Consider the following 11,809-nt stretch of genomic DNA (forward strand, 5'->3'; position numbering starts at 1 on the left):
GACGTGCTGTTGATTCTCTTATGTCTTGAACCCTGGCCAGTGATCTGAAACGAAGCAGCCCATGTCTCCAGATCACTAGTACCAAATAAATTTTGGGGTGTAACAGGTTTATTGAGAAGTAATTAACATACCATGCAATTCACTCATTTAAAATATACAAGTCATTCAATTTTAGTATTTTCAGAGTTATGTAATCATTGTTACATCAATTTTAGAACACTTTCATCACCTTAAAAACAAACCCCACATCATTTAGCTATCTTCACTAGTTTTCCCTTCCTCCCTCAGCCCTAGGGAACCACCCACCTTCTTCGTATAGATTTGCGTATAAGCCTCTGAAATAAAAAGCAAGTGGTCGACTGGGACTGGCTTATTTCACTTAGCATAATTTTTCATGCTGCATCTGTGCTGTAGCAGGTATTGATGCAGGGCTTTCACTCCTTAGTTCAGCTAAATCTGGGTTCTTCTCTCATGACCAGGAAAAATTAGCCATGTGGACCCATTGAAGGGTGAGAAGGACAGAATTTATTAAGTGAAAGGGAAGCTCTCAGCAAAGAGAGGGGTCCTGCAAACAGATTTCCACCTCACAATTGAATACCAGGACAGGCACACATGAGCTGAAGAGGCCAGGCTCCTCCTCTGCATAAGGCATGAATTCCTGGTGGCTCCACCCCAACCCCCCAGTGCATGTGGGCCTCCAGTCTGCTGCTGGCATGTCCAGGCAAGCCCCTGTGCAGGTTCCCTTATCTGCACCGGATGTTTTATCTGGTGTAGACACTTGTGGGCCTGGAGATTCTCTGGGGACCCTTCCATATCTGCCTAGGCATTTTGCTGTCTCCTGCTTCTATCAGTATCAGTACTAAATTTCTTCTTATTGCTGAGTAATATTCCATTGTATGAATACATCAAACATTTTATGCAACCATTCATGAGGTGATGGACCTTTGGGTTCTTTCCACTTTTTGACTCTTATTAATAATGCTGCTGTAGGCCAGGGGTGTTGGCTCACACCTGTAATCCCAGCACTTTGGGAGGCCGAGGCAGGTGGATCACGAGGTCAGGAGTTCAAGAGCATCCTGGCCAACATGGTGAAACCCTGTCTCTACTAAAAATACAAAAATTAGCTGGGCATGGTGGTGTGTGCCTGTAATCCCAGGTACTCAGGAGACTGAGGCAGGAGAATTGCTTGACCCCAGACCCAGGAGGCAGAGGTTGCAGTGAGCTGAGATCATGCCACTGCACTCCAGCCTGGGCTACAGAACAAGACTCCGTCTCAAAAAAATATAGTAATAATGCTGCTGTAAACATTTATGTATGAGTTTTTGTGCTTGCATATGTTTTTATTTTTGTGGAGTATATACTTATGACTGGAATTTCTGGGTCATACAGTAACTTCATGCTTAACCTTTTGAGGAGCTGACAATTTGTTTTCCAAAGTGGCTGCACCACTTTACATCCCCGGCAGCATTGGATAAGGGCTTTAATTTCTTTACATTTTCCCTAACACTTATTTTCTCTTTTTTATTGAACAAAGATTTGGTCCTGTGGTGTGAAGTGATACCACAAGGTGGTTTTGATTTACATTTTCCTAATGACTAATTACATTAAGCATCTATTAATGTGCTTATTATCCATCTTTATATCTTCTTTGCAGAAATATCTATTCAAATTCTTTGCCCATTTGTTAAATTGGGTTATCTTGTTATTTATTAATGGCAAGGGTTCTTTATATATCCTATATATGTAAGTCCCTTATCAGATATATGCTTTTCAGATACTTTCTTCTACTCAGTGTCTTACCTTTTCAGTTCTTCATACTGTCTTCTCAGGCACAGCAGTTTTCAATTTTGAAGTTCATTGAATCCATTTTTCCTTTGGAGTCATGGCTAAGAAAACACTGCCAAATGCAGTCACAAAGATTTATGCCAACGTTTTCTTCTGAGAGTTTTATAGTTTTAGCTGTTACAGTTAACTGTTTTGAGTTAATTTTTAAATATGGTATTAGGTGAGAGTCCAACTTTATAATTTTTTTTGCACATGGATACCCAGTTGTTCCAATATCATTTATTGAAAAGACTATTCTTTTCCCATTCTGTTTTTTTGTTAACCTTGTATAAAATCAATTGACTGTAAATGTGCAGGCTTATTTTTAGATTATCAATTCTTAGTTTATGTCTATTCTTAGTTTATGTCTATTCTTATACCAGGACCAAATTGAATTTACTGAGAAAATTTTTTCAATCATGTTGCATATTACCAGTTGTCTTATGTCATAATAAAAATTAAATGTAGTAGAATATCTTTAACTTCACCTTTTGTGTCTCAAAGGAGTCTGTGGCCAGCTTATACCTTACTTACTCTAAGACATGATGGCAAGTCAGGCTTACGAGACACACTCTTTCTTTTTTTCTCCATTTAAACCTTTAGTCTCTTATCCAGTGCCTCCCTCTATGGTTTCATTTTCAGTAAATTTTGGTCGCAGTATCTGCTGAAATAGTCTACTATTTAGTGCCTTATGTTTTACTAACTCATTATAATTCATAGAATCATCCATAGATGTTTACCATCCAGGAAGGAGGAGTTTAAGTCTGAGCTGCCAGCTTTCCTCAGTGGAAATCAAGTGAAGTCATCATCTTTCAGTTCACAGATCCTCTTTCCACCTGGCATCTTGTTCTGTTGTGTAACACTGTGGCTAATCCTTTTCTTGGTGCAGATCTTGCATTCTCAGAAACCACGGTTTCTGTATTGACCTCCTTTTACTGAAACAGAGATGCACAGCTCTGCTTTCTAGCTCAGTAGAGGATTCTTGGAATAAAAAGTTTAACTCATTCCAAGAAAAAGTTTTAGGAGTGCAGCACTTAAAAATCAGGTAATATTCAGGCAATTTATCAGAGACAAATAGTAGATTAGTATTTTGAATTTCAAAATTTCAGAGCCAAGTTGTGTGCTATAGAGAAGCATTGTGGTATAATACAGAGATGGGATGGTCTTAACTTCTCCATGCAAACAAACGTGAAGTAAGGTAAAGGAGAAATTGCATTTGATGTCTTAACACTCAAAGTATGCTGTGTTTATTTTACTTCTGTGAAGAGTAAAAGTCATTCCATAATTTTCTCCTTATTTCCTCATTGAGAAAAAGGAAAATGAAAATCGAATACTAGATTGATTAATAAATACTCAAAGCTTCTTCTTTTAGAATTTTCATTAATTGAAATCAGGTAAATGTCTGATTTTGGTTATGTAACCAAGTATTTCCAGTTGTTTTTCAAATCATATGTCTTCTTGCTTTGCAGTCTTATTTCCTAACTTGAGGGGAAATTGTAAGGAGACACCCTTGCCTTATTATCAGAGCTCATAATTGAAGGGGGTTTTAGGAAAAGTTCCTCCTCAGCAGCTTACACCTCTCTCCTGGTTATCTGCTGCTTCTCAATAATGTTTGTCATCAATAAATTAATCTCAACATTTATTAGATCTACTTTAAAGGAGACTCTTTTCTGCTACCTAAGTTGTTTCCTGTTGTCTCTTTTTAAAACTTATTTTTCTAACAATTACCCAGAGTTTTGTGGCTTAAAAGAAAAACATTTATTTTGTTCATGAACCTGTGGTTTGGAAAAAGATTGGCCAGGACAGCTTGTCTCTGCTCCCCTCAGCTTCCCTAGGAAGTTGGAGAAATTGAATCATCTGAAGCTTTGCTCTCCCATGTGTTTGATGGTTGATGCTGGCCATTGGCTGGAACCTCAGCTGGGGCAGGCAGCATGAACACCGACACTGGCACTCCCAGGCTGTCTTTGTGGACTGATCTCTCTCACAATCTGGGGGCTGAGTTCGAAGGGAAAGCAGTCTGAGATAGGGAAGCTACATGGTATCCCTTTTACTGCATTCTATTCATTAGGAGAAGGCCATCAGTAAGGATGGCCCATATTCTATTCTTTTAATGGGATGAATATAGATTCTCTTTTGTTTTAATTGACATGTATATACATAATTATGGGCTATAGGGTGACATTTTGATAAATTTATATAGTGCATAATGATCAAGCTAACTAGCATATTTACTACTTCTTACTACTTCAATCATTTTTCATTTCTTTGAATTGTGAACATTCAAAATCTTCTAGCTTTTTAAAAATATTCAATAAATCATAGTTAACCATATTCACTCTACAATGCCACAGAACATCAGAACTCATTCCTCTTATCTAACTGTAATTCTGTATCCATTAACCAGACTCCCCTCTCCTACTTCTATGAGCTTTTTTGTTGTTAAGAGACAGGGTCTTGCTAGTGTAGTCTGGGCTCTGGGCAACTGTAGAGTCATCCAGGCTAGAGACAGTGATTTGATCATAGCTCACTGCAGCCTCAAACTCTTGGGCCCATGTCATCCTCCGACCTCACCCTCCTGAGCAGCTAGGATTATGGGCGTGCACCATTGCACCTGTCTGATTTTTTACTTTGTAGAGATGTCTTTCTATGTTGCTCAGGCTGCTCTGGAACTTTTGGCTTCAAGTGATTCTCCTGCCTCGGTCTTTCAAAGTGCTAGGAAATTACAGGCATCAGCCATGTTGCCCAGCCCTCAATTTTTCTTTAGCTCCCACACATGAGTGAGAATGTGCAGTATTTATCTTTCTGTGTCTGCCCTTAACATAATATCCTCCAGACTGATCCACGTGGCTACAAGTAAGAAGATTTCATTTTTTTATATGGTGAGTATTCCATTGTGTATGTGTACCACAATTTTTTTGTCCATTCATTTGTTGATGGACATGTAGGTTGATTTTATACATTAGCTGTTGTGAATAGTGCTACAGTAAACATGTGAGGAAAAGTATCCTTGTGATCTATTGTTTTCTTTTCTATTGCCTGAATACCCAGTAGTGGGGTTGCTGGATCCCTCAGCAGTTCCATTGTTCATTTTTTGAGAAAACTTCATATTGTTTTCTATAGTAGCTGCACTAATTTACCTTCCCACCAACAGCATGTAAGAGTTTACTGTTCTCTGAAACCTCACCAGCACTTTTTTTTGTGTTTTCTATGATAGCCATTTATTGAAATGGAGCAAGATTATATCACATTGTAGGTTTGATTTGTATTTCCCTGATGATTAGTGATACTGAACATTTTTAAATGTATTTATTGGCCATTTGTATTTCTTTTTTTTCTCTTAAAAAAAGAGAAATATCTAATCAGATCTTTTGCCTAGTTTTGAACTCAGATTATTTTTGTTTACTGTCAGGGTGTTTGAGTTCCTTGTGTATTTTGGATATTTGTCCTTTATTAGATGAATAGCTTGAAAATGTTTTCTTCCATTCTACAGGTTTTCTCTTCACTCAGTTGTAGTACCATTTGTCTATCATTTGTTTGTTGCCTATGCTTCTGATGTCTTACCTATACAAATCTTTGTGCAGACTAATGTCCTGAAGCATTTTCCCTATGTTTACTTACAATAGTTTGATAACTTTGGGCCTTACATTTCAATCTTCAATTGATTCTGAGTTTATTTTGCTATATGGTGTTAGATAGGAAGCTAGTATCATTCTTCATATGGATAGTTTACCAGTGCCATTCATTTGAAGAGGGTGTCCTTTCCCCAATGTATGTTCTTGGCACCTTATTCCAAAATAAGTTGGCTGTAAATATGTGGATTTGTTTCTGGGTGTTGTATTCTATGGCCTTTACCCCAAGAATCATTACTTCTTAAAATGCAATTCAAATTAGCATGAAACATTTGCGGTTTAGGGAAAGGCTTATGGCATCAGAATCCTTATTTACAGGATTCATTATTTTGTGTTTTTTGAGATATGGTCTTTGTCTATCATCCAGGCAGAAGTGCAGTGATGTGGTCATAATTCACTGCAGCCCTGAACTCTGGGTACAAGCCATCCTTTTGCCTCAGTCTCCCAACTAGCTGGGTCTACAGGCCTGAGCCACCATGCCTGGCTAATTTTTTAAATTTGTTTTTTTTTGTAGAGATGGGGGTCTCACTATGTTGCTCTGGCTGATCTCAAATTCCTGGCCTCCAGTGATCTTTCTGCCACAGCCTCCTAAAGTGCTGGGATTACAAGCATGGGCCACCATGCCTAGCGTAGAGTATTATATTATTTTCAAAGTCTTATTCTGGGAGCCATTTATTGACTTTGGCCTAAATAACTCAATATGATATCTCTGAAAGGTTTTTTGACAAATTTTGGGGAATGATGATGAGGGAAGAGGGTTAGACACTTTTTACTAAGAGATAACTTAGTGCCATTTAAGGAGGAACAAAAATGAATTATCAGAAAAATAAAAGTAAAAGCAAGTGAAAAAGTTCTGTGGCAAAGATGATGTCAGTAAAGCATATTTTTGTGACTCATGGTAGCTTTAACTTTGTTCTTAAAATTCTGAGTAATTTAAGGGTTCACATTTGAAGAATCTACTACATTATAGATAACATTTTATTGCAAGTGGATGCATTTCAAAATTTGCTATTGGTTTTGTATTAGATTATTCTCAGCCTACTTCATTATCAAGCTCTATTATTTTATTAATGCAGTTTGATGATCTTATGGCCGAGAAGGAAGCTGTATCTTCAAAATGTGTCAATTTGGCCAAAGACAATGAAGTTCTTCATCAGGAGTTATTATCTATGGGAAAAGTACAAGAGAAATGTGAAAAACTTGAGAAGGATAAAAAGATGTTGGAAGAAAAAGTATTAAATCTTAAGACACATATGGAAAAAGATATGGTAGAACTTGGTAAAGTACAAGAATATAAATCGGAGCTGGATGAAAGGGCAATGCAGGCAATAGAAAAATTAGAAGAAATCCATTTACAGGTTAGTTTTTAAAATCAGGTAAGTTTATCTGTAATGGGCTTTCATTTATTTCACTGCAAACTGTATTTTGGATGTGTATATATTGTGTTTCCTCTGCCTCTCTTACGGCAATTTCCTTTGTAGAGCTCTAGAAAAAAGTGACGTTTTTTCCTTTTAAATATTTAAATTTCCATTATTATTATAACAAAATCAATCTTTCAAAGTAATGATTCTCACTATACAGTAAAAGGGGGAATTTGATGATTAAGACCAGTTGGCATAAGAGAAAACTGTGATTTAGAAATTATATGATACTTTTGAATTGGTCTTAAGCTACGTTGTTCATTGTTCACTTTTTAAAATTATAAATGGATTCTATTACTTTTTATAGGACCAGATTACATTAATACTAACATAATTATGATTCCAAATTTTTATAAATCAGACAATTCTGAATTCAGTTATTAGTTTTGTTGATATTGCTGATAAATATTTTAAGCTTCAGCCTCTTTTTAACATATTCAAAATTGCTCTTTGAATCACTGATTCAAAATGAAAGGCAACAAACATATGGTAATTAACTTATAATTGTTTTAAAAGTGTATTCTTTTCATTTGTTTTAGAAACAAGCAGAATATGAAAAACAATTAGAGCAGTTAAACAAGGATAATACGGCTTCACTAAAAAAGAAGGAACTCACACTTAAAGATGTGGAATGTAAATTCTCCAAAATGAAAACAGCTTATGAAGATGTTACAACTGAATTAGAAGAGTATAAGGAAGCCTTTGCAGTAGCATTGAAAGCTAACAGTTCCATGTCAGAAAAAATAACGAAGTAAGTCAAAACATATACTCATAGAAAATGAATTAAACTCATTAATTTGTTTTGAAAGCATAATTTTTAGTGAGATGGCTTCAGGAGATCAGTAGGAAGTGAATGCTAATTTGGTAATGTAATTTTGGAAAATAATGTTAGTAAATAATCCCTCCTTTAAAATGTTCATCAAGGATAGTTTCTGTCTCTCTTCTCTTTTTTTGCTTTTGTGTGGCTTTTTTCCCTGAAAAGTCTCATGTAGTTAACCTGACCAGTTAGTTTTTTTCACTAAGTATTTTTGAAGCTTTATGATAAATAAAGTGATCTTGTTATAAAATTACTTGTCAGAATTTTCCTAAATGGGAATATTAATGAGTTTAATTTATTTTTTGGTAGATCACAACCTGAACCCAAAGTGTCAAGTGATACTGCTACTCTGGGCACATCCTGGCACTCAGGCAGGGACTGTTTTTGAGTGTGATCTTTAGGTGTTATCACTAGAGGGTACCTCAAGAAAAACTATTTGTGTAACATTTTCAAGGTGTTACATAAAGGCATCCTTGTGAAAGAGGGAATAATTATCACAGGAATGAAAAGAAGGGTAATCCACAAGGTGGTTCAAAAATAACACCTTGTTCAGCCTGAAGGGCTGTGTGGAAGGCAGAAAGAACAAGCCCCACCTCCAGTGCCTTGGTCACAGTGTTGAGGGCTAATTGCCTTCAGAGATGCTGTAGTTCTTTTTGATCACCAACCAACCAGTCTAGTTCTCCCCCAGGAGTTGTTGCTCTGAGTTATTCCTCAGTGCCAAATACTTAAGTGTTCTTAGAGAATGGGTGAAATGTACAAGGGTGAAACCTGAAACTGGTTTACTAAACACAAGTATTTCTAGATTATTTTTGTTCATTTTAGTTTCCTTAATCTACATTATTTAAGGAGTACAACATGATGTTTTCATATAATTATTTATAGTGAAGTAGTTCTTATAGTCAAGCAAATTAACATAATCATTTTCCCACATAGTTACCCTTTAAATACAAGTATATCTAAAGGAATCTTTAGAATCTTATAAGTAGAGCTATTTTAGAAGGCAGCTAGGTTACCTGTTGAGCTGTACATCACTGATAGCCATTTCTCTTCCCTGTCTACTTTGAACTGCTTGTTCAGTAGAAATCACCTTAGAAACACATATACTTATTTAGAATGATTTTAAAATTACCGTTACTTACAAGAGGTATGCTCTCACACATCTTCGTGTGAAAACACTGTTTAATGGGTAATTTGGTTTACTCTCAGGGCAACTGTTTAAAAAATGCAAGTCATTAAGAATCATTCAAGGTAAAATGAAATACTAAGCATTTGTCTTTGCTCTCTTTACAGATCGGATAAGAAAATAGCTGTGATCAGCACCAAGCTCTTTATGGAGAAAGAGCGGATGGAATATTTTCTCAGCACTCTTCCTATGAGGCCAGACCCAGAGTTACCTTGTGTTGAAAATCTTAATAGTATAGAACTCAACAGAAAATATATTCCCAAAATGGCCATAAGAATTCCTACTTCAAACCCACAGACTTCAAATAACTGCAAGAACTCCTTGACTGAGGTTAGTTATATGACCATTTCTCTTTTGGGTTTCATTTCTCTAATATAATTCTTGTTTATAATTTGGTGAAATACTGAGTTGTTCTGTTGACTTATGCATGTTAAGTAAAGATTATAATTAGCTGTGTTAACACAGAAAGGAAATGGAAACTTTACATTTTTTAATTCCCTGGAGCTCTCATTTTCAAGAGACACCCATTTGCTAACTTTATTCAATAAATGTGGTTAAACTGACACATTTAAAATTTCTCTAAAAGCTGCATTTGTTAGGTTTTAAAAAATGCATGTTATTGCCTAATAACTGATGGTATACTTTGAAATGCTTTGTCTTACTCTACGTGACTGTAGTTTGTCTGTGGTTCATATCACTTTTTTTTTTTTTTTTTTTTTGAGATGGAGTCTCACTCTGTTGCCTAGGCTAGAGTGCAGTGGCATGATCTCAGCTAATTGCAACCTCCGCCTCCTGGGTTCAAGTGATTCTCTTGCCTCAGCCTCCCAAGTAGCTGGGACTACAGGTGCCTGCCACCACACCTGGCTAATTTTTGTATTTTTAGTAGAGATAGGATTTCACCATATTGGCCAGGCAGGTCTCGAACTGACCTTGTTATCCACCCACAACAGCCTCCCAAAGTGCTGGGATTACAGGGGTGAGCCTCTGTGCCCAGCCCATACTATTTTTAAAGTTTATTTGCACCAACTTAACTCTTTCCACCCATAATCACAAGCGAATGACAGGCAACCAAACACTTAACAACATATAGATATTTATTATTTAATAGAACCCAAAATAAGTGCATTTTATGAATTAAATAAAACACTGAAAGTTCATTTCCATTTTTCTGTTAAAACCTTTGTGCTTGGCCAGGTGTGGTGGCTCACGCCTGTAATCCCAGCATTTTGGGAGGCTGAAGCAGGCAGATCTCCTGAGGACAGGAGTTTGATACCAGCCTGGCCAACATGATGAAACCCCATCTCTACTAAAACTACAAAAATTAGCCAGGTGTTGTGGCAGGCACCTGTAATCCCACATGCAGCAACCCCATTACTATACTAGGGATATACCTAAAGGAAAATAAATCATTGTAACAAAAAGATACATGCACATGTATGTTCATTGCAGCACTATTCACAATAACAAAGACATGGAGTCAATCCAGGTGCACCCAAGGTAGATTGAAAATCCAAGGTAGATTGGAAAATTCCATATATACCAAATACTATGCAGCCATGAAAAGAACAAAATCATGTCCTTTGCAGCAACATGGATACAGCTGGAATCCACTATCCTAAGCAAACTAACGCAGAAACAGAAACCAAATATCTCATTTGCACTCATATGTGGGAGCTACACATTAGGTGCCCATTGACATAAACATGGGAACAATAGACACCAGGAAATAAGAATGGGGAGGGACAGAGTGGGCCAGGGTTGAAAAACTGCTTCTTGGGTCCTATGCTCACTACCTGTGTGATGGGTTCAATTGTACTCCAAACCTCAGCATTCCTCAATATACTTTTGGAAGAAACTTACACAGGTACCACTTTAATTTAGAATACAAACTAGAAAAAAAAAAAGAAAACTTTACTATACATATTTTTTTCAGTAAGTAAAGAATATAAATTTCTTTTTAAGAAAAAATTTATTGAAGTAAAAAATGGATTAAACTTTTATAAAGGACAGACTTTTGCTAAGAATTTCAAAGCAATGCATTCATTGCAAAATATGACTTTAATTGTTTAACCTTTTTTTCTTTTTTTTTTTTTGAGATGGAGTTTCGCTCTGTCACTAGGCTGGAGTGCCGTGGCATGATCTCGGCTCACTGCAACCTCCACCTCCTGGGTTCAAGCCATTTTCCTGCCTCAGCCTCCCGAGTAGCTGGGACTAGAGGCATGCACCACCACACCCAGCTAATTTTTGTATTTTTAGTAGAGATAGGGTTTCATCATGTTGGCCAGGATGGTCGCGATCTCTTGACCTCGTGATCTGCCCACATTTGCCTCCCAAAGTGCTGGGATTACAGGCGTGAGCTGCCATGCCCGGTCATTGTTTAACCTTTGTACTAATAAAACACCACCTTTCTAAAATTATGTATATCCGATAGACCAATATTATCTATTTTTGTCAGATTACTCTAAACAGCATTACACAGATACATCCTCTATTATCTAAACTTAGAATAAGTAGAAATTTTACTTTACTTATGTGATTATTTTTCTATTTAAGCAAACTTCATGTTATGTCTAGTCACTAAAAATACTAAAGGCCACATTTTGTAAGTAATATGTTAATCTCATGATAATGTCTCTTGTTTAACTTAAACATTATTATTATTTTTTTTTTTACTTATTTTAGATGGAGCTGGACTGTGCAGAACAAATAATTACAGAAACAAAGAAAAGTATGTTGCCAAAATGTATTAATTAAATTTAGGTTTATTTTAGTAATAAAGTGTAAATAGCAAATGGCATTCCTTTTCATTGTTGGGTTAGTAGATACTACATTCAGTATCTTTTTCTTACACACATCTAATGAAAGATGTGAAAACAAAAACTTTCACAGTGAAGAGTATACTTATGCATCATTAATTCATCATGTTCCATAGCTT

At 36.2% G+C, this 11,809-nt stretch overlaps 1 protein-coding gene across 2 annotated transcripts in view, besides 2 other annotated features; it reads left to right on the forward strand.

The window, feature by feature from the left end:
• Positions 1-11,809, forward strand: part of ANKRD18B (ankyrin repeat domain 18B) — a 51,192-nt gene that overhangs the window by 35,439 nt on the left and 3,944 nt on the right. For both annotated transcript variants that reach the window (NM_001353432.2, NM_001393611.1), the window contains 4 exons: positions 6,530-6,811; positions 7,414-7,625; positions 8,982-9,204; positions 11,557-11,602. In NM_001353432.2, coding sequence (NP_001340361.1) covers positions 6,530-6,811; positions 7,414-7,625; positions 8,982-9,204; positions 11,557-11,602 — 763 coding nt within the window. The remainder of the gene's footprint in view (positions 1-6,529; positions 6,812-7,413; positions 7,626-8,981; positions 9,205-11,556; positions 11,603-11,809) is intronic.
• Positions 682-821: an enhancer, noted in NCBI's record as "active region_28299". NCBI's record gives its function as "activates an Ori minimal core promoter by ATAC-STARR-seq in GM12878 lymphoblastoid cells {active_cell/tissue: GM12878}" and the evidence as "EXISTENCE:reporter gene assay evidence [ECO:0000049][PMID:35858748]".
• Positions 3,569-3,769: a silencer, noted in NCBI's record as "peak7218 fragment used in MPRA reporter construct". NCBI's record gives its function as "represses an SCP1 promoter by STARR-seq MPRAs in K562 erythroleukemia cells {active_cell/tissue: K562}" and the evidence as "EXISTENCE:reporter gene assay evidence [ECO:0000049][PMID:32103011]".

The sequence above is a fragment of the Homo sapiens genome, chromosome 9 (assembly GCF_000001405.40).
Source record: "Homo sapiens chromosome 9, GRCh38.p14 Primary Assembly".
Lineage (NCBI taxonomy): Eukaryota > Metazoa > Chordata > Mammalia > Primates > Hominidae > Homo > Homo sapiens.